The sequence below is a fragment of the Homo sapiens genome, chromosome 6, assembly GCF_000001405.40.
Source record: "Homo sapiens chromosome 6, GRCh38.p14 Primary Assembly".
Classification (NCBI taxonomy): Eukaryota; Metazoa; Chordata; class Mammalia; order Primates; family Hominidae; genus Homo; species Homo sapiens.
The window spans coordinates 135,516,739-135,541,126 of NC_000006.12; the positions used below are offsets into that span (position 1 = coordinate 135,516,739).

Below are 24,388 nucleotides of genomic sequence, written 5' to 3' on the forward strand. Positions count from 1 at the left end.
TATCAGCTCTCACTACTCTGACTCAAGAATTTATGTTCCCAATAAACTTGACCTTTCACTTCCCTTGTTAGCCTTATTTCTAGATATTTTATCTGTTTTTGTGGCAATTGTGAATGGGATTGCCTCTCTGATTTGTCTCTAGGCTTGGCTGTTGTTGATATAAAGGAATGCAGCTAACCAGGGAGATGGAAAATCTCTACAGTGAGAGCCACAAAACACTTCTCAAAGAAATCAGAGATGACACAGACAAATGGAAAAACATTACATGCTTATGGATAGGAAGAATCAATATCATTAAAATGGCCATACTGCCCAAAGCAATTTACAGATTGAATGTTATTTCTATCAAACTACCAATGACATTTTTCACAGAACTAGAAAGAACTATTTTAAAATTCATATGGAACCAAAAAAGAGTCTGAATAGCCAAGGTAACCCTAAGCAAAAAGAACAAAGCTGGAGACATCCCAGTATTTGACTTCAAACTATACTACAGGACTACGGTAACCAAAACAGCATGGTACTTTTTTACAAAAGGAGACACATAGACCAATGGAACAGAATAGAGAGCCCAGAAATAATGCCAGACACCTACAACCACATGATCTTTGACAAAGCTGACAAAAACTAGCAATGGGGAAAAAGCTCCCTCTTCAGTAAATGGTGCTGTGATAACTGGCTAGCCATATACAGAAGATTGAAACTGGACCCCTGCTTTACACCATGTAAAAAACTCAGCCCATGATGAATCAAATACTTAAATGTAAAACTCAAAACTATAAAAACCCTGGAAGATATCCTAAGCAATACCACTCTGGTCAGAGCAACAAGCAAAAATTTCATGAAGACACCAAAAGCAATTGCAACACAAGCAAAAATTGACAAATAGGATCTAGTTAAGCTTAAGAGATTCTGCACAGCCAAAAAAAAAAAAAAAAAAAACTATCAGCAGAGTGAACAGACAACCTACAGAATGGGAGAAAATATTTGCAAACTATGCATATTACAAAGGTCTAATATCCAGCATCTATAAGGAACTTAAACAAAATTACAAGAGAAAAACAACCCTATTAAAAAGTGAGCAAAGGACATGACCAGATACTTTGAAAAAGAAGACATACTTGCGGCCAACAAGCATATGAAAAAAGCTTGATATCACCGATCATTAGAGAAGTGCAAATGAAAACCACAATATCATCTCATACCAGTCAGAATGGCTATTACTAAAAAATAAAAATAAAAAGATGCTGGCAAGGTTGTGGAGGAAAGGGAACACTTATACACTTGGTGAGCGTGTAAATTAGTTCAATGATTGTGGAAACCAGTATGGCGATTCCTCAAAATCCTAAAAGCAGAACTACCATTGTGCCCAGGGATCCCATTATTGAATATCTACCCAGAGGAATATAAATTATTCTGCCATAAAGACACATGCATGCAAATGTTTATTGCAGCACTATTCACAATAGCAAAGACATGGAATCAACCTAAATGCCCATCAGTGGTAGACTGGATAAAGAAAATATGGTGCATACATATAAACAAATATTATGCAGTCATAAAAAAGAACAAGATCATGTATTTTGTGGGAATACTGAATAATCCTTACTGTCCCATGAAGTAGGTTCTAATTATAGATAAGAAAACTGAGATACAGGGAAACTGAGCAAGTTGCCCATGATAGCTAGTAATGGATGGAGACATAATGTTTGAACTCAGGCAGTTGGATTCAGAGCCTGGATTCCTAGTCACTGCACAGTGTCAATGCCTGACAGATAGATGTTACGAACGTTAACTGTTATATTAATTGCTGTACATTTTATCAACTAGATATCCATTCCATTCTCTCCACAGCCACTCATCATGCCTTACCTGGATGATGCAGAAGTCCCTGGAAACAGAAGGTCTCACCCTTCTTTATCTTTCTCATGGCTTTCCAAGGCTCTTTATCATGTTACTTTCCTGCTCAGAATTCTTTAATGACTTGCCTCAATGACCAGATACATGTGATCTACAGTCAGCCTTCCAGCCTCATCATTCCTCTTCCATTTCCTCCCCAGAAACACTGTACTTTATGAAGCTCCTCCAAGACGTAAGTTTCTCTCATATTTAAAGGAGAGTTATGCCATATGCTCTCATAATCATGCATATTTCCTTGTCCACTTGCCAAAATCCTATTTCTCCTTCAAGTCTCCTTGTAAATACCATTTCTCCTTTGAAGGAGATTCAATTCTCGATTCCCCAGGGTAGACTAGGTATTAATACTTATGCTATGCTCTAATGGCCTTTGAACACACATGCCACAATACATTTATATATACAATGAATGCTGGTATTTTATATCCCTTTTTTATGATAAGCACCTTAAGGACACTGCTGATGGGTATCTGTCTTAGTTGTTTTGTGCTGTTGTAACAGAATATCTGAGACTGGATAATTTATAACAAACAGAAATTTATTTCTCATGGTTCTGGAGGCTGGAAAGTCCAAGGTCAAGGTGACAGCAGGTTTGGTGTCTGGTAAGGACCTGGTCTTCATTTCCAAGATGGCACCTTAAACTCTGTATCCATGCCAGAAGAGCAGAAGAGAGTGAACCCATTCTCCAAAGTCTTTTTTATAGTGGCATTAATTCATTCATGAAGGCAGAGTCCCCATGACCCAAACACCTTCCATTAGGCTCCACCTCCCAACACTGTTGCATTAGGGATTAGGTTTTAATGTGAGTTTTGGAGGGAACAAAAACATTCAAAGCATAGCACTGTCCATCTTTGTATTTTCAGTATTTGTCACAGCACTCTGCACAGAGTAGGCACTAACTAATTACTGTATACCTTAACTGACTTTCATTCTTTCTATACCACTCAGAAAACATCAAAGCCATAGAAACACAAAGCCTCCCTCCCACTAGGTTTTTATTTTAATCAGCAGTTCTCAAAATTTTAAGAAATGGGATTTCTTGGAAAAATTCAAAATATTTTGGGGAGAAACCACAACTGGGTTTGCTAATAAATGCTGATATCTAAGTACTGAGCTAATTCTAACAAAATTAAGATTTGATTAAACTGACCTAGACCAACTGTGAGACTTGGGTGGGATGGCAGAGAATAACAAGAGAGAACAGAAGAAGGTACTCTTGGGCTGACCACTGGTTCAATATTCCTAGGGTGCCCTTGCTGTCCCAGAATAATTATCATGTTCTGGGCTTTGTTCTATGAGTTATAGCTACTCCTTTTTTCCCACTTGTGTTTCTCGCATCTGAATCTCCCTCCTTTAAGCCTTATTTACCCTGTTGATAAAGCTAAACTTCTGTTTTATCTCCAATCTCTTGTAATTTATTTATTTATTTATTTTAGTAATCTCAGACCTCTTATAGAATTGAGCCCCTGTTGTGTTCTTTCTAGCCTCTTTTCTGTAAAACTACAGAAATTCTCCCAATCTTAGCTTAGTTGCCAAGTTCCTGCCTTTAATGGACACACTAACTAGAAAAAGAACTTCAAATTGCCTGCATTGATAATAGCATAGTGGACGTGTGTGTGTGTGTGTGTGTGTGTGTGTGTGTGTGTGTGTTTTCTGCCCAGCATCCCTTTCCTCTAGTTTGGTAAAAATACGTTCATTTTAATATGAAAAATAATCCCCTCACCCTCTTCCATTGCATGTGGTCTTACAGGGGATGTCAGTGAAAGAGCCCTACCCAAGGCATTGACACTTGGCCTAAGCAAGAACAATCCATTATTTCTCTGCAAACTAAATCTGAAATGGTCTTCAACAGTTAAGATGTTAGTGATGGTTAACCATCTTTAGGGAGCTGCCATCACAGTAACCATCACTAACCATCTTAACTGTTTAAGAAATGGGATTTCTTAAATATAGAACCTAGCCCAGAACATGGTAATTAACTGTTTAAGATGGTTAGTGATGGTTAGCGTGTGCTGGCAGCTCTTTAAAGAGACTATTCATTAGTCCTGAATACCAGATTATTGGGGTCGTCCTGTTTCCTGTAGTATTCTACTTAATGCTTGATTGTTTAGCTTTTTATTTAGTTCTGTGAAAGACTCCATACCTTTCCAATAAATTATTTTTTGTGCCCTTAAATTAGATAGGGTTGGTTTACATTTTAAAACCCAAATTGACAAATGTAAATTCCTTGTTGCAGTGCTCTCTCAGCAGCTGGGACCCGGTCTTGGAATCTTAGTGTCAACTATGATGAATCACCAACACTAACAAAAACATTATCTTTTATTGGGTTAAATAGTTTCTACTCTTCCCAAGACTGGGAACTGATGTAACAGGCTTCGTGCTTTCTTCCCAACAAATTGATTCTGTGTGGTCAGCTCCTGTCATGATGATAGAACCCCCTGTATTGATTTATACTTAGGGGTATATCAATGTCAGTCTAAACTTGTCCTACCTACTTCTACTGCCTGATGAATCTTTTTATTTTAATCTTTACTAAGGTAAAACTTACATATTACAAGAGTCACCAATTCTAAGTGTATAGTTCAATGATTTTTAGTACGTTTATACATTACATAACCATCACCCCAATCCAGTCTTAGATTGCATGCCCAATCTTGTTGTGTGTATTTTCCATGGCCATTGATGGATCCTAGTATCATGTACTGCACGGGCTATACCAATATCAGGCCCAAGATGTGTAGCAGTCAATCCTGGAGGTCTTGTGGTGCCCTTAAATATAATGTAAGGGGAGAGTGTCAGTGTGGTGGATTCAGGGGCAATTACTATGCTATTGAAGAAGCACTGCCAAGGGCCAAATAGAAAAGACACTGGGCTCAAATAATAAAAATCAGCAAGGCAGACAAGACCACAGGAAACAGGGCACTTGGAAGAAATGCCATAGAGTCCAGTCAGCTGCTGCTGGATAGATCTGACTGCTTTTCATAGATGTAGCACACATCTGCTTGATGACGTCACCTGATGCCTTCTATGCCACATGTTTCAACTTCATTTAATACAAATTTTTTCACAAATTAGAATTAACATTTTAAATAAAAGGGGTTGAAAATATTAACAGATAAAAGATTTGCCTTGGATTGAATTTTTTTATTCCTCCTATTACCATTCATTTTAATGTGAACCCATCTGTGAGAAAAGTGGATAATTTATGTGAATAATGTAATGATGCTGTATTCTCCTAGATAATATTATACTGTTTTTGAAATTATCTCCTGCCCCCATTCCAAACTTATTGATGAATGGCACTGTATAGGAGTATCAAAAAACTAAGTTTGCAGATTCCTGAGACTGAGTATAGAGGGCTGATGTTAATCATAAGAAGATCTCATATTGAAACAGAACAACTGCGGTAAATTTGGAAGAGAATAACGCTTTTTTTTTTTGGAGACAGAGTCTTGCTCTGTCACCCAGGCTGGAGTGCAGTGGCACAATCTCGGCTCACTGCAACCTCTGCCTCCTGGGTTCAAGTGATTCTCCTGCCTCAGCCTCCTGAGTAGCTGGGATTACAGGCGCATGTCACCACGCCTGGCTAATTTTTTGTATAGTTAGTAGAGACGAGATTTCACCATGTTGGTCAGGTTGGTCTCGAACTCCTGACCTCGTGATCCACCCCCTTCAGCTTCCCAATTTATCACTTCTTTGGAGGCCAACAAAGTGCTGGGATTACAGGCGTGAGCCCCCACGCCTGGCCAAGAATAAAGCTTTTAATCTTTCCCCTCCCCTGATCTCTTTGCTTTCTGAAATAATCTCCTCACAAGGAGGTGAAACATTGAGTGGCCAGCCTGGCCTTGCTGTTGCTTCTGTATATCCCAGCCTGTCACTCTTAGGAGCACGATGAAGATCTATAAGTATCTCTACTTTGGTCCAGCTACACCTCCCCTTGAGGAATATAGATTGGAAAGGGTACAGAATATGTTTCCTCATTGGTAATGTTAACCTTTTATTTCTTCTGAATAATTTAATATTTGATGTGAAAGGCTATTTTTTGAAGTATCACATAATGAAACAACAGCCCTGAACAATATAGACATTAGAAGCATTTTTTTCTTTTACCTTACTACATGCGTTACCAAGGAAACAAAAGAAATTGGAAAACAAAGAAAACCAAAGGAGATGTAGCAATATTGGGGGTTATAATAACTTTGTGAAAAAGTTTCTTGCAGAGGTAAGTTCAGTTAAGGCACCTAAAAGCATCTTGACAACTGATAACTCACACTGCATGGTGGATACAAAATGTCCAATGAAATTCCCAAGATTTTTTAAAGCAAATGGTGTCTGTTTCTCACCAAGGATGCAAATCCAAACTGTTATCCAAGTCTTGTTCATAGTGCTTTCTAAATATCTCCAGAATGCATTGATCTTTATTATTTCTTGATCTCTGTTGCGCTTTCTCAAGCCTTCACGACAGTGTATGTCTTCCCTGGATTACTGTGATGATCTCCTACTAGACTCCCTGCCCTCAATCATGCCTCTGTAATCTGTAGTGTGCATGGTTGTCAGCAACTCTGTTCATGGCCACCATACTTAAATTTTTAAATTTCTCATGTTTCAGAATAAGGAACCCTTTAACTTGACATATTAGGAAGACGCTTCATGACCTAATTCCTATGTAATCTTTCCAACATCATCTCTCACGGCTGTCCTGCCTTATACTAGATGTGTCAAATGATGCAATTACTTCATTTGTTTATCTACTTAGCAAATATTGACTAAGCATTCAACATTGTCAGGCACTGTTTAAGTGTTGCAATATAATGGTAATACTTTCAGTTTCTAGAATAAGTCCTGGGCCTTATCTCTTATCTCTGGGCCTGTGCATATGTTTTTCTCTCTCCCGGGAACTCTCCTCTTCCTTGAAAGTATAAATTCTGCTAAGTGCGCTACTGCCTTACTTCTGGTAAACCTTCTCTATTACCTAGGCTGAATTAGGTGACTTGCTGGGTCCCCTCAAAATACCCTTCTCTCTCATGCATTTATCATGCTACACCTTTCACTTCTCTGTCTGCTCCACTAGAGTATAAACTTCTTAAGGCAATATGCCTTTTTCATTTTTGTATTTCCAAGACTGTGCCTTGCATATTATAGATGTTATTTATGGGATATCCTCTGAAAAATCTCCAAGTGAGTCCTAAGATCCTAGACATTGCCTAGTAATAATTTTTCCTTCATGAGGTAGCAGATGGATCTAATCTATTTTTTATTTTATTATTATTATTATTATTATTTTGAGACAGAGTCTCGCTCTGTTGCCCAGGCTGGAGTGCAGTGGCACGATCTCCGCTCACTGCAAGCTCCGCCTCCCGGGTTCACGCCATTCTCCTGCCTCAGCCTCCCAAGTAGTTGGGACTACAGGCGCCTGCTACCACACCCGGCTAATTTTTTGTATTTTTAGTAAAGATGGGGTTTCACCATGTTAGCCAGGATGGTCTCGATCTCCTGACCTCATGATCCGCCCGCCTTGGACTCCCAAAGTGCTGGGATTACAAGCGTGAGCCACCGCGCCCGGTATTTTTTTATTGTTTTTAAAGTGACTTATGCAAAGGTGGCTATGCCTTTTTATAAAAGATTAGCACAAAGGGAGAATAATAACATTTGCAAATTATTTGCTTGAAGCTTTTATTTAGAAATCTGTTACATGTCCTTTTTTGATATATATATATATATATATATATATATATATATATATATCTCTATAGATCTGTAGCTAGATTAGGGAGAAATTTGGGCCTAAATTTGAACTTTTATACACCAATTAAAGCAAGTAGAATTTGTAATATATTTCACCACAGGCCACAATTTCTGCCCTGGAGAAGGGGTCAGATCGTGGTCTCCATCTAGGGGAGCAGTTACCTGATAGTCACATAAACTGCAGGTCAGGCCCCTCTGTGGTCTGCCCCTGTTCAGGTTGGATTTCCAAGAAAACAGGCTCTAAGGAGAAGGTTTGAATATGGAGATTTATTTAGGAAGGCTCTTGGGATCCATCCTTGGGGTGGGAGTGAACAGATGGGGATAGAGCGGAGTAAAAAAATACAGAATTGGGTGGAGGGAGAGAATGAATAACAACGCTGCCATAATAAACACCTCAACTAATCCTATGGGGAAGACTGGGGCTGGGATGACCCCAGCTTTGAGAGGCAAAGGGGGCTGTGCCTTTATGCTCCTGCACAGACCAGTCTCCCAACCCTACCCAACTGCAACTTGATGAATGAGGGCCCTTTCTTCAACTGTGGTCAATTCCCAAGAAGGGAATCAGATGAGTACTGGGGGAGTGCTATAGTTTGAGTGTACGTGTCCCTCCAAAATTCATATGTTGAAACCTAATCACCAAGGTGATGGTATTAGGAGGTGGGGACTCTGGGAGGTGATTAGGTCATGGGGGCTCCAGGTTTGTGAATGGAATTAATGCCCTTACACAAGAGACTTCAGAGATCTGCTTCCCCTTTCATCTCCTTCATCCCTTCCACCATATGGGGAAACAGAGTTCATCCAGTCCTCCATGTTAGGATGCAGCAACCAGGTATAATCTTGGAAGCAGAGACAGACCCTCACCAGACACAGTCTCCTGGGACCTTGATCTTGGACCTTCCAGCCTCTAAAACTGTAAGCAATAATTTTCTGTTATTTATAAATTACCCAGTGTAAAGTATTTTGTTGCAGTAGCAGGAATGGCCTAAGACATGTAGTGAGTGTTTCAGTTCTGAAACTGCAAGTAGAGATCCTGGTTGTGGACTCTAAGTTCCTAAACCTCCTCATCACTTATTGGGAAAGTCAGTTTTGGGGCTCAGGACCATTAGGAAAATTCAAGATTCCTGCCTCATTCAAATGGAGGGCTAAATGCAGGGTAGGAATAGCAAGAAGGTATTTTCTTTCAAGCCCATTTCCCTCTTCTTTCAGGCTGTTAAAACATGTTCACTTGTTCACCTGCTAGTGGCCATTGGCTCAGGGAAAGTGAATCAGATCCCTTGTTCAAGGGGATAAATTTAGTTACTCTTAGCCAATCATGGTGATTCTATTCTGCTTTTCAGAGACTGGTTTAACAAGAGTCATGTGATCTTTCTGGTCAATGAAAGATAAGGGGAAGCCAGCCTGGAGTTGCTTCAGAAAGGCTGCTCTTAAACAGAAACATATTTGAAGAAACAGTAACTTTATTCTGACTCTTTATGTGTGTGGCGGAGGAAGTGATGCCTAGAGCTACTACAGGCACTTAGGCCATGAGGAGAACCAGTGTAAGTCAGCAAGCCAAGATGCTAAAGACAGCAGAATAAGAAAATGGCAAGAATCTTGTCCTTGATGCTGTTGAGCTACTGAATTAACCAGGGCTGCAACTCCCTGTATTAGTAAGGATTCTCCAGAGGAACAGAACCAATAGAATGTATATATAAGTATATAATAAGGAATTAGCTCATGCAGTTACAGAGGCTGACAAATTCCAATATCTGCAGTTGGCAAGCTGGAGACTCAGGAGAACTGACGGTGTAGTCTAACGGCTAGCAGGCCCAAGAACCAGGAAAAGCTGATTAAAGTTCAAAGGCGGGAAAAAAAAACCCAATGTCCCAACTTGAAGGCATTTAGGCAGGAGGAATTCCCTCTTATTTATGAGACTGTCAGCCTTTTTGTTCTATTTAGGCTATCAATTGTTTTGATGAGGCCCACAACATTAGAAAGGGCAGTGTGCTTTGCTCAGTCTATCAATTTCAACGTTAAACTCATCCAGTATAATGTTTGATCAACTATCTGGGTATGCCATGGTTCAGTCAACTTGACACATAAAGTTAACCAATCGTCAAAACCCCCTACTTTTGGTTTCTTGATAAATAAAATAATATTTATCTTCTGTTTTAGTGGAATAAAGGTATGGAAAACGCTTTGATCAGTTTCTGTCTTTTGTTGATCTGGAATTGCAGTATCATTGTGATTAAAGAAACTAAAATACAGTGTAATTAGGGGATCACATCCAAATTTTGCAAACCCTTTGGTAATGTTTAGAATATATTTGATTAATTCATTTTCAATTCAACAAACACCTGTTAAATACTAACTATATGTCAGCTAGGTACATGTTATATGTCAATGAAAAAAAAAAGAAAAAATTCCCCTTGTGGGGCTGACATCTAGCATATAAACAAATGGTCAATTTTAATATAGTTTTGGGTTTATTTAAGCTTATTACAGAATAAAAAAATAGTGCCCCAAACTGACCACTCTTGCATAGCCATGCCCAGCAGCCAATACTACATAATGTCAACCTACAACACAGCACCATCAAGTTGTTACTCAAATGAGACCTAGGCTTGACGGGATGTTAGGAGGTCCATTTCTATCAATCAGAGTCTGGAGTTCATCCATCGCCCTAAGCCTGCTATTGAGGGAGCCCTATGTAAACATTTATGTGGCCACCAATAAATAGTAAGCCCCTCAATCCCAACCCTAACCTCACTGTGTTTCTAGATTCTTGCCTCTGTTCTTTGTTTGCACTTTATTCTTTGCTGGTAACGGATTCTAGCCCTGAACTCCAGCCAAATTGTCTGGGCCTACGAATTGACTAGTCTTGCCAACCTCTTCTCTCTGGGGGATCTGGATCCTATCCCAATTTTCTCCCCTCTGCAGCCCACTGGCTAAGGCCCTATTACAACCCAGACAACCTCTCCCATTCCGAACATAAAACTGTCATCTGTTGGATAATAACATTTCCCACATAACCAGTTCCTGGTGCCATGCTCCCACCTGGCTTGAGATGGTGACTGTCACCATTAATCTGGTTTGGATTCAGGTTTGGTATGTCCTGTTAGATGCTGAGACTTGGGGGAGCTTATAGTCATATACCTCAGACCTCCCCTATCCCCACCAGTCTTGGCTTACTTCTCTCTCTCCTACAGATCTACAGCTGGGGTTCTCTTCTGGCTCTCCTGCCAAGGCCAATCAGATCGCAATACAAAAAAGTAACACTTTCCAGCATTCTGTAGAGTCTGATTTTCTAAACAGTTCTTTAGATTTTAATGCATCTCAATAATAGTTATAAGTAACATTTTATTTTTTTCTGTGGCAGATTAGGCCTCCTGCAAAATAGTCATTTTCAAAAATTGTCTAAGATTCAGATGCCGCACCCAATGTTTATGCTTTTTGCAGCAATATGGTCCTAATTCAACATCATGCAGCGTGCAAATCAGTGTTTCTTCTAACTTCAACAGTGATAAATATTTATTAAGCCTCCACTATGTTCATGGAACTATACCAGGTGCTGCTATAACTATTTTTCCTTTCCAGGAAAAATAAATTCAAATATGGAATAAAAAGCCCAAACTCATGAAACTGGACTGACTTTGCTTCTTAAAAATTCAACATGCTGCAGCTGCATGCTTAAACCTGGTTCAAACAGGATGATGAAATAAAACATTATTATTGTGGGAATATAACACTGTCTAAATAAATAGCCAACATGAAAACTGTCTCTAAAACCCATAGCATCTGTATGTGCAGACTGTAAGTAAGTTATATAATTCCTCCACTATTCTGTAACATGGCCAATTCAGAATGTCTTACCATTAATCTTGAAGACATTTAAAGATGTTCACTTTTCTAACTCTTCCCTTTGAAAATATATTTGAACCTTATTTGCAATAAAAATCTCATAATATTGTATTACTTTTTGATGTGTCATTTCTGTTAAATGGTGCCTGGAATAAATCAGCTTTGACTTTTCAGATTACATGTGTTGTTCCAGAGTTTTAGTAGTTACAACATACATTTACATTTTCTAATGTCCTCACTATAATGAAGATAAACACAGGGGTAATTTTTCTCATGTCATGTGTATATAGGATAAGATTACCAGGCCAACAGTGTCACTATCAGATTTCTTTCAGAAAGTGTTTAATGTTGAATTTTAATCACATGCTTGAACAACTAGGACTTTTTGGGTTTTATTTTTCAAATATGTGTTAGTAAGAAAACAGACTGAAATGTGGAATGTACCAGATAAATCTCTTTGGTGATTTTACATATCTGTATGATCATGTTTGACTTAGAAATACCAATCTTTTGATCTTACACTTCAAATGTTACATCTGTGAACATAAAAATCTATATGGCTATAACTTTCCAGGAAGAAATCTTGCTCAAGTAACTAATAAATGATCCAAGTTTTAGATAATTCTGACATAATTCCAACATATTTCCTACAGTATTTTGCTTTAGAAGACTTTCTGACCCAGATATTTATGGCTAAAGTCCATATTTTATAGATCAAATGATAATTACCTTGTAGAGGAAAGCATTTGTTTTTGAATAGTGCCAGGAGCAAGTAAGTGTAACTAATATTACACGATAGATATTTCTGCAGATAAGTGAGCTTAACTCTCGTGGTTAAAACTTATGGTTAAATTTCCACAGATTAGTAAAAGTTCTCAGTTTTATTAACAATTCTCCATTTTCATTAAAAGCCCTACTTTCCTGATAGTTAGGCTGATGAGAAGTTAGTTCAGAGGGCTGCTCATTCCCATATTCATCACTTTTTATTCAGTAATGTTATTTTATGAATAATAATTTTCTTATTTGTTGAGGCGTATATCATGATGTTTAGATGTACATTACTATTTGTCCAATGCAACTAATTAGTTAAATAGGAATGAGTTGTAATGATCAGAGGTAATCCCAGAAAATATTTTTTCAAGTTTACAAACTTATAACTTTATAACTTTACAAGTTATAAAGAGACCTTCATAACAGTTAATTAAATCAAAGAATCCTTTAGTTGGACCATAAGCACTAACAGTCGGCATTCCGTGAATATTTGTTATATGTTTGGTATTTTGCTAAGCACTTCATTTTTTTTAAGTGTCATTTAATTTTCACATGAACCCTATGAAATATGTATCATTATTAGTCTTATTTAAATGTTGCTGAAGCTGATGCTTCAAGGAAAAGTATCATGCTTAAGGACGAACAGCTACCAGGTGGGGAACCGGGGACCTGAACTGGGTAATCTAACTTAACTTCTGCTTCAGTATCATTTTAGTTATATCTTTCTTGTACAAGTATGTCTCATCTTCCCTGTTAACTCTTCATTGATAGGAAAGACCATCTTTTTTTAATCTTTATGTTCCATTACTTGCCTTGGGCACAGTAGAGACCTATAAATGTTTGGTGCTCACATTTAATAAAAATGTAGTAATAATAGCACTATGATATATAGCAATAATTTTTTTTTTTTTACTTTTTAAGGGTTAAATAGGGTCAACGTGATTGACTCACTTGTTTTTGCTTATTGTACTTAAACGTCTAATATGTTAGATTAACTCTATTATTAATGATTTGGCCACGTAAAGTCAACGGCTATTCTGAAATAAACAAAATGGTCTGTAAATCCCTTGGTATATTTTTGCTGCCAAAGAGTACAAACATTCATTCAATAAATATTTATTGAGTAGAATGAAGTGAAATCCAAGTGCAAGAAAACAGCAAAGAAGTAACAGAGGTGATTGAGAAAATAGAAAACAGTAGTGAGATTCAGAATGACAGCAGTGGCTTCCACTTTAGTGTAGGTAGTTGAAAAAAGCCCTACCACAAAGTTAAACTTCAGCTGAGACTAGACGGGTGAGGAGGACATGAACTTGGCCAGTTTGAAGGTAAAGATGGATGATGTGGCTGGAGTATAGTGAAATTGTAATTTCTACCAATCTAAAATCCAAGGCAAGCTTTGCCTGAGCCATTCCAGACTTCCCTGGTGGATATGAATTAGATCATTCCAAGTCAAATGTTCATGTGTTGAAATCTAATACTAAAGATCCCTTAAAAAATTTTTAGACTAATTTCAATGACCTTCCATTCTGGTCACTTAGGATAATGGGCTAAAATAGAAATCCCTCTGAAACATTATTCTCTCTTACTCTTATGGTTTTCTGTCTTCTCTGGATCAACACGAATGGTACTCCCTCCACTGCCCCAAATATTTTAGCCGCAACTTGGAAGCCCATGGCACATCCTGTGTGTATTAAAAGAGGGCTCCATTGACTACCTGGTAATGACAGATGCTTGGTTCTCCTTGGAAAACAATTCTTCTAGGTCACTCACTTTCTCCATTCAAGACTCTGACACCTGGGTCACAATTTCATCCTCTGCTAAATCCTGTTATTATCTTCCCTGACTTCAAAGGTTCTTCCACCTCTCCAACTCCAGTGATTTTCACATACCTTTGTCACCCCACAAAATACTGGCAACTGTGGATATACTCTGAACTTTGTTATTCCCTACAATTGTCCTGCCCTCTTACTTCCAGCTCTCTCCTCAGACCTTACTCTCCATAGATGTCTCTCTGACACCACAGACATCTCTTATCTCATGGCTCTGTTACCCCAGTTTATCTACCACATTGTTCTTGTTTATATCCCTCCCCAGCTTGAACCCTATAACTTATTGATGGAACCACTTTTTTGTACCAACATCCCCAAATCTCTGAAACCTTGGACTTTCCTATGCATATACCTTGGCTGTTGAACAGTCTCAGAAAAAGGTCACTTGGTATTTGCTAGGGGCCAATATAATATTTAACTTAGCTGGAGTCTAATCAATGCTTGACTGTCCTATGCTTTGTTCTTGGTTAGTAATTCTTGCCACCCTTCCCAAGAACTTCTTTAGATTCCTGCCATTCCCCCTTAAGATCCTTTTTAACTTTTTCTTGGTGCCTTGGCCTTTTATTCTACTGACAATATTGAGATGTTGAAGAATGAAAACTTTCAAACACCCATACCTTCCCTCAAATTTTGAACCAGAATCATCCTTGACTCTCTCCCACCAATCTCAGTGGAAGCTCTCTTGCCTTCTTCCCAAGGCCAGGCCTTCCAGTTAGGATCTTGATTAGGATACTATTCTGTCTGTTCTCCAATTTTCTTATATGCCTTCAACTTTTCTGCTTCTCTTCATCTGTCTTTTCTTAAGGCTTATGGAACTCCCATTTAAAAAATCTTTGAATTTGTGTGCCCCTTTAATGTTAGCCATGTCTGTATCAGCTAACCTTTATCAGCTGTTTTCAGAAAGAATAGTCTGCACTTGACCACCACCACTTCTTGAATTCCCCATTCATTCACCTATTAAAATCGGGCTTCCTCCTCTATCCTCTGCGCTGACAATATCTGGCTAACCATAATTGATCTTACTATTTTTAAATCCATTTATTTTATTTAGCATACTAACCCATTTCTTGAAACCACCTCTTTATTTCATTAATGCCCTCTTCTGTCATCGAAACTCTCTGCCTATTGCTTCCTTGTCCCCTTTTTCTATCTTTTTTCTTTGCATAATTCAAAATGCTGGTACTCTTGGAGGTCTTTTTTCAGCCCATTGCTCTTATTACTCTGCATATGCTTCTTCAGATAGGGGCAGACAGGATGTGGTTCTCATTTAATTTCACAGTATGTATTATCACCTATAAGTTGACGCCTCAGATCTGCTCAGCAACTTAGGCTTCCAATTGGAAGGACCATAACTTAGTGAAATAAACATACTCCAATTACTGAAAATTTTCTACACCAGGTTCCCCTGCCACTCTACATACTTCCTCACATGATGGTGCCAGCATGCATTAGAAACCAAAGCCAGACCGCTTGGAGTCACTTGAAATGCCTTCCCTCATGCTCACCTCATTTAGTCACTACATCTTGCTGATTTCACTTCTAAATATTGCTCCTCTGCTTTTCCTCCTACTTTTTAGCTTTGCTGTTACTCCTCTAGTTCAGGCATTCATCTTCACTCATGTTGATTATTGTTTTGGCCTCCTTTGTCTGCCTCATCTTTTCTGGCTTTGCACTCACAGTCCATCCTCCTTCTTCCATCATGGCTGTCCATTTAAAGGGCACATCCTCCTGTAGCAGAGGGATGACAAAAAAAAAGGAGAAGGAGAAGATGAAGAAGAAGGACAAGAAGCAGAAGAAGCAGAAGCAGCAGCAGAAGAAGCAGAAGCAGAAGAAGCAGCAGCAGAAGAAAGAAGAGGAAGAGGAGGAAGAAGAGGAAGAGGAGGAAGAAGAGGAAAAAGAAGAGGAAGAGGAGGAAGAGGAAGAGGAGGAGGAAGAGGAAGAGGAGGAGGAAGAGGAGGAAGAGGAAGAGGAGGAAAAGAGGAAGAGGAAGACGAGGAAGAAGAAGAGGAAGAAGAGGTAGAGGAAGAAGAAGAAGAAGAAAGAAGAAGAAAGAAGAAGAAAAGAAGAAGAAAGAAGAAGAAGAAGAAGAGGCAAATCCCATAACATCACTCCCCTGATTGAATCCTTAATGGGTATACCTTCACCTGCCCACTGCTAGGTGCTGCCCACTGCCAGGTGCCCCATGCTTCTCTTCACAACAGTTACCACATTGATTGCAGTCCTGTTGCCCAGATGTAGCCAGAAGCACCTCAGTGGCCAACACCTTGCCTCACTCATTCTACAGCCTTGGTACCTGGGATACTACCCAGCACACCATAGGCATTCAACAAATGTTAAACTAAACAGAATAGAGTTAAATGGAATATATAACCAAAGTTAATTCCATATTGGAGAAAAACAAACATCATGGCAAGTAATTATTTGGGGAACACCTAATGCATACCAGCACTGTGTTGGAACTTCACACATTTTATGCTGATTTACTAGACATCTGTGTTACACAGCAGGGTGAAGTGGTGTAAGGAACATGACTTTTTAAAGAGAAAGATCTTGGGTTACATCCTGACTGTGCCACTTCATAGCTGTGACCTCGAGAGAACTACTTAACATCTAATTTTTAATATCGCACTATTCAAGGGATAGCAATGCATTTCTCACAGGGTAGTTGTGCAGACTAAAAGAGATTAAAAGGACCTAGAAAATGTGTGGAGGTTAAACATGAATGCCACTGGGGCTTGAACCTTTCTCATAATTTGACAACTGCTGAGAAGGGCAGGACTTTTTGGCATGTTAAGGTCTCTGAGTTCAGGAATGAAGGGGCCCCCATGAGTCCTGAGTGAGACTTGCTGAGGCCCAGCGATATTGTGTGAAACAGGATTTAAGAGTTTTTACTTTCCAGAAACCAAGGGTAACAGAAGTCTCTGTATTGTAATAGGAGGTCATACCTGCTTAAATACATAGATAGTAATTTAGTATTTGCTGGTGTAAATAGTACAGTACTATTGGGGATACATTAGAAACCTTAGGAACATTTATTAAATGAAATCATAATAGACAAAACCCTTCAGAGTGTGCCATCTCTTTTTTTTGCTGTGACGCTGACAGCTCTTACACTATTTCAAAGAGATTTGGAACAAATTATTGGTAACAATAAAGCCCCTCTAAAACTTTTATATGGAGATGTTTATTGCAACATTATATTCAATAGCAAATAATTACAAATAACTTATGAGATCATAAAGTAAATGATGAGTGATGTTATACCAATATGATAAATAAAATATTATTTATCTCTACAGTAAGGCTTATGAAGACTGTAGGAAATAGAAATAAAGTGCCCAATGTGGCATGCATCTAATTCCATAATTATAGCTAAGAAAATGTAAGACTATCTTTGGATAAGGGCTAATAAAAAAAAAATAGGTATAAGGTAGTATGCAAATATGAATATAATTAGGTTTGGGCAGTAAAATCTACTGATTTTTTTTAATTTTGGAAGTTTACATAATTAAAAATTTTAAATTATTTTAAATGATTTATGAGCATCAGTATCAGAATATTAAAAATATATAAACCAAGATAAATGCTCCAAGCAAGAGAAAAGCAATTACTGACTTACCAAATTATTCTTCTGACATCTTAATTATAAAACCTAGCCATAATTTATTACCAGACCCTAGCTTCCCATTCTTATAACACAGAAAATATTATTTTATGACTTACAATCAAGGCACAATCTCTTAAATAATCTACTTTAGAATCAACTATAAGCAAAAGAAAATTTATCTACAGAGCTATATTATTAGATAACCTGGTTTGTAGCCTTGCAATGTGTATTCAATTGCCTTTATGTCTATTTGCCTATCTCCTAAAATACTCAAATTTCGGATTTTAGCCTAATACACTCACAATCATGAGACTGATTACATAACTGGATTTCAAGGAGAAAAAATAACAAAGAGGAATGAATTAATTATCTGAACTTTAGTTATATATTAGATTTCCTAAACAAGAATTACAGACAAATTTGTTTATTAAGAAAACACTGTTGAGAGGAACATGTCTTTGGAATTATGAAAAATGATCTTCCAGAGTATATGGAAAGTAAAGACATTCTGAGGAAATGTCCATTATGAAAGTCCAAGTGACTATGCTTAAACCACTATAACCGTAGATCTGATTGCTTGATGCTATAATTCAATTATCTTCTCACTACTTTACCTCTCATCTGATAGTGAAATACAGCCCTATTTTTTCCTCTAGTATTTATTCAAATATTTTTCCAAGTATGACACAATGACTTTATCTCCTCAGTCAGTTGTCATTCTTGAGGTATGTAGACTCATCAACCACTAAACCACTGTGGCGAGGACCCTGGTCCATTTGGCCAAAAATTCTGCCCTTGTTCTTCATCCTATTAACCGTAAATATATTAGGAATCTAGCTAGAAGATGTCCCAATTTATTATTCATTATAGCTCTAACAATATTAATGTTAACTATTAAGTATGAAGATGATTTTTTTTTATTTTCCATTAAGTCATTTATTGAGTCACTTACATTATGCCTGTAGTTTAGGTAGGATTAATCCATAATTTCTTCCCAAATTCCCCTGTGATTCGATTCCTTGCAGAGGACCATTAAATATATGATGAGTGGTTGGAAGGTTCCTTCTTATCCTATGGATAAAAGGCTCTAAATGTCTTAATATATTTAATTCTTCATTTAAATCACTTCTGATGTGTGTTTATTATATAGGTAGGCTCTCTTGAACATATAGTCCAGTGCAACTATTAATGCTTTATTTATTTTTTATTTATTTATTTTTTGAGACCAGGTCTCACTGTCGCCAAGCCTTGAGTGCAGTGGCAGGATCACAGCTCACGGCAGCCTCTATCCCCCAGGATGAAGTGATCCCCTTTCTTCAGCCTCCCAAGTAGCTGGGACTACAGGTGTATGCCACCATACCGTGCTAATTTTTGTATTTTAGTAGAGACAGGGTTTCACCTTGCCCAGGCTGATCTTGAACTTCTGAGCTCAAGCCATCTGCCCGCCTCTGCCTCCTAAAGTGCTGCGATTGCAGGCATGAGCCACCACATCTGGCCAACACTTTATTGATAACTGTATGTATGTATAAGCATTTCTAGGTTGTAACAATCCATTGGCTCTCAGTAGGCCCACCAGAGGAGTACTGCACCTGCAATGAAAACCTGTCTCAGATTTCAATCTGCAAGTGTTTTATTATGGGCTGCTAGTAAATTATCCCACAAGAGGTCGCTAAAGCTCCGGTTTTTTTGATGTGTGATTTTTCTGACTTTTTCTCCTTCCTGCAAAGGAATTGCAAAAAATTTTCTGTTTCCCGGTTTTCTATTTCCCAGTCTGTTCCAACTTGACATGAAGGTAGTCAAGAATTAGGGCTTAGTCATGGGCAAGGCAGCTTACTTATGGAAGTTTGTAGCCATCTAGGGTTGCTCAAATCCATCACGTGAACTTCAGAGCATTTCTTACCACAATTTATACTTGAAAAGGAAATACAACCAGGCACCTTCTGACCTCAATAACTAAACTCTTTTAGCTGTAATGTAGACCCCTTTAAAGGCACATTACCACTTTTCAGGCCCTGGGTTGACATTCCAGTTTTCTGCACATACCAGAATGATAGAATAGACATCTAAAAGAGGCCTGCACTCAGTAAATATCTCCTTAGAGAAGATCTAATAAATAAATGCTAGAGGTACCCTCATTAATGGAAAATTGCTGCTACATCTATTTCTTTGGAGGATTTTTAGACTCAAGCAGGCAGATTCCTGTAAAGAATTTGGTTTAAAACAAAGCTGATATTTTAGAAACAATCTCTATTTTCTCCACAGAAAACATAAATATTTTTTAACAAGACATTTAAAATTGTGTTTTAGAGAAAAATCGGCTTAAAATTTGAGAATATTTTCGCCCATCCTTAGAAGAATTTTCTCTTCCCCTTAGAAAAATATTGCCTGAATATAAAAAGGGAATCTTACCTTGATTTCTCCATCTCTCAAATCTCAGAAGAAACAATGCCACTTTTAGCATTCTTGACTAGTAAGATTATTGGCTATATATTTTCTTAGCAAGGGTCACATGTTACATTTTTAATAGGTTCTATTACATAGGGCAGAGGTTATAGGCAAAGACTTCTCTAATGATCTTTCCACTTCCCTTCTCTACGGGGAATATTTAACTTAAAATATTGTGATTTAATCATATATAAAGAGAGAAGTGTTATTGTGAATCAAGCATTTGAACAATTTTATGTTTTCATATGAATATAGAGTGTTAAAATTATAAATAACATTTTAATTATACGGATGGAAAAACCTGGAAAGATCTCAACCCTATGAACATGAAGGATTTATACAAGATGATTTTGGAATCATCCCTTCTAGTCCTAAAATGTAATGACTTTCCTTAAATTCTTATGCTTTTGGACTATAAAAGCCCATTTCTATTTTAATGAGATAACTTTAAGTGGAGGGCTTTTCTTATTTGAATAGCTGTCCTGTTACGATTTGGGAGTTAAATATCAGATAATTAAAATTTAGTTGTTTACAGTTACTGAGATTTTTGCATTATTTCCTCAGCAATAATTTTTTATATTTACAACCTCTATGTTAATGAACACACTATTTCATGAAGTGCTTTTGTAAAATGCTAACATAATTCTTTCCTCATGTCTTTTTGGAGGTAGGAGACTCATATACTTTTTATCAGAGATGCTCATGAACTTGAAGGCCCAAATGAATAATAATATACAGATAATGAATTTCTACTTGACTTGAGCCATATCGCAATAAAGAAGGAAAAATGAAACAGGCTAGCCAGGAGGGTAGGAATAGACCAGTCACAATGCATCAAAAGGCAAATGATAGTAATCAGAATCTCAAAGAATCATACAATGAGTCTTTTTAAAATACCACCACCACCTACTCCACTACTCTGGGCTTGTGTTAGCTGACAAGGCACATTGGTTTTCCCGTTTACTCACATTAAGCCCTGGGTAGGCACAACCAGAGAACATTTCAAATATGTATGGGTTATGAATAAGTGTGAGTCACCGACTTTTAGTCCAGCTGAAACTACATTGTCAGAAGAGTATTAAGCTGGCATTTGCAACCCACATACTTACCTTGTGCCTGACACTGTGTTCTGTATTTAGGACAAAGGCTTTTCTAGTCCATGCACTCAGGTAACTCACAATACAGTTGAAGAAAAGAGATAAGAACACAGACAACTACAGTATTGCATCAGTACTAAGGCATGCATAGCACCCCCACCCCCAGCTGTCTTACCTCTTGGAAATCAGGTTGCATCTTACAATTGATGGTATCTTGCAAATGCCATGTCTAGGCTGCTGTCATAAGCAGTCTTGGTTTGTGTGGGTGCAAACTTGGTCATAGCTGTTGATCTTGTCTTCCCTTCATTGAGGTATGTGCACTGTTGATAATGCATGAGTTGAGTGAATTGCCATTTAAAATGCTTTAAATGTTACCTTATAATTCAGTATTAGAAAAAAAATTGTGGTATGTGCAAGAAGGGCTAGAAACAGTGCAGTGGGATGTATATTTAATGTCACTGAGGTAAATATTTACCATTGGAAGGATGATTCTCATTTCTTATTTTCTTGCAAACCCATAATAAAATAATAATTATGGGTTCTAAGAAAGGAAAATACATGTTGAATAAGTTGTGTAAAATGTGGTGACTATGCTATGTGTCAAAGGATTGTCTATCACCTTGCTACAACCAAGTGTGGTCTCTGGATCAGGTACAGTCTCTGCATCAACATTACCTGAGAAGTTGTTAGATTTGGAGCATCTCAGGCGCCACACCAGACTTACAAAATCAGAATCTTCATTTTAAAGTCCGTAAATGGTTCATATGACATAAAAGTCTGATAAATAATTATGTCACATGCCAAGCAATTCAATGAAAGTCAGGAAAAATTGCCTTTGAAGAGATGAAAGAAATTTCAAAACAACAAGGAGTTGATGTGACCAATTCACTCATGCAGGACTATCATTAAGGTGTCAAACTTCAATATCAGAAACTTCCTGCTGAGTTTGAACAGCAGTTGCCTAACTTCGTGTGACATGTATTTTGATTGAAGAAAAATGAAAACGATCAGTTTATTGAATAAAAAATGCTAACAAACCATGGGCTCTTTGATATGTCTCAGAATCACACTAAAAGAACCCTTTCAATACATATAAAATAAAAATTCTAAGTGATAAGGCTGTGTAATAATTTTACTGGCAGCTTTTTTTGTTCCTTGATGTTACATAAACTAATAGTGTGTTTTATAATTGATGGTGGCATAGACTTGATGAAAAACAGTATAATACAGTGTGATAGGTGCTATAATAGGAAGAAGTGGGAGATGCTATGGAGTAAATAGGTGGTGGTCATATCTCATAATCAAGGTTTGTTACCTTGAGCAAAAGTCAGTCAGATGGAGATGGGAATGAATTGAGGTGGGATGCAGGGAAGTTATTATTCCAAGAAGAGAGAATTACACATGCAAAGCCATCAAGGCTGTTTGTCAAGAAGCAGGTAGAGGGATTGAATCAGTTTTTAGGGGATGGGGGAGTTGGGATGCTGGATTGTGTTTTGCCTTAGCTTTGGTGTTACAGAGCAAAAGCAAAGGGAAATAGTACCTCCACATGTCAAAGGAAAATTTGGTGTCCAAAAGCTCCCATTCCCGCTAGGAGAACTGACCTTGTGTATTAGGGTTCTCTAGAGGGACAGAACGAATAGGATAGATGTATATACATACAGGGGAGTTTATTAAGGAGTATTAACTCACACAATCACAGGGTGAGGTCCCACAACAGGCTGTCTGAAAACTGAGGCGCAAGAAAGCCAGTCCAAATCCCAAAGCTGAAGAAATTTGACTCTGATATTTGAGGGCAGGAAGCATCCAGCACAGAAGAAAGATGGAGGCTGGGAGGCTAGGCCAGTCTAGTCTCTTCACGTTCTTCTGTCTGCTTTTATTCTAGCTGCACTGGCAGCTGATTAGATTGTGCCCACCCAGATTGAGGGTGGGTCTGCCTTTCCCAGTCCACTGACTCAAATGTTAATCTCCTTTGGCAACAACCTCACAGACACACCCGGGAACAATACTTTGCATCCCTCAATCCAATCAAGTTGACACTCAATATTAACCATCACACCTTGTCTGGGATCAGTTTTGTGTAGAATTAGGTTCACGGATAAAGTTAGCTTTGTTCTCTTCCAGTATTTTCTTGAATGAGGATGGTTTCCACTTAAGGAATAAAGACATTAGTTTTGATGGCTAAGAATGGAGTTTTCACTCAATCCTGTCTGCACATTGCCATCACCCCAAGTAATGCCTTAGCCACACTCACAGAAGTTTGATTAACTTGCTATGGAGAAGCATGAGCATTGGTATTTTTTATCCATTGTCTCCATGATACTACTGTGCAGTTTATTTAAAAAAATGGGCTTATGGTCAGGGAGGGTTAGGGCAGATGAACAGCTGGTCAGCAGAAAACAGGAACTGCAGCACCTATAAGGCTACAAATGAAGCAAAGCATCAGTCAAACACTTGGCCTCTTAGGGGAAACCATTTATTTGGGCAGATATGGTAGGGAAATGCGGGATAAATTTCTGCCATCATATGATAAGCCCTAGGATTTACCAAACACCTTGGATCATCTTGGAATCCTCTCATTCTAAGATAACAGATCTCTCTTCTGGCCTCCTATGGGTGTTTGGATATAAAAGACAGATACACAACTTTCACATCCAGGCCCTCAGATACACATTTCCCAGGGTAGCCCTGAGGTGGTGCTGCTGTACTTGTGGTCACATCTTGGTTTGAAAACGCTGGTAGAGAGAGTGGAACTTTTCCCTTCTTTTCACAAAGAGTATGGGGCTTTTGCAAGGCCAAAAATAGAAAAAAAAAGCCTAAAGTTGGTGCCTACATGTTTGTGTGGAGCATTTAAGCTCAAACAGGGCATATATATGTTGGGTAAGAAAGTGGATATTCATCCATAATGACAGTATACTGGTGATATCTCTGCTATGTCTTGACATAAATAGGATTCCTATAGTTTTACCTTGCTCAGTTGCAGGAGTGGGAAAGGCAGCTGAGTGGGGAAACTGAGTCAATATATACAATGTTAACAGTAGACTTTTGAGCCAAAGGATGGGGTGGACACATTCAAGAATGAAAGGAATAGTGGGTTTGCAACCGTAGAGGCTGAGAGCAACATTAAGTAACAAGTCACA

The 24,388-nt window shown here is 38.1% G+C and overlaps 1 long non-coding RNA gene across 5 annotated transcripts in view; it reads left to right on the forward strand.

Annotated features, from left to right (window-relative positions):
* The window catches only part of AHI1-DT (AHI1 divergent transcript), a 218,255-nt gene that overhangs the window by 18,938 nt on the left and 174,929 nt on the right, over positions 1-24,388 (forward strand). For 2 of the 5 annotated variants that reach the window (NR_152845.1, NR_152843.1), the window contains one exon: positions 1,855-2,092. The exons of the other annotated variants lie outside the window; for them this stretch is intronic. This is a non-coding gene — a long non-coding RNA (AHI1 divergent transcript). The remainder of the gene's footprint in view (positions 1-1,854; positions 2,093-24,388) is intronic. 5 annotated transcript variants of the gene reach the window in all.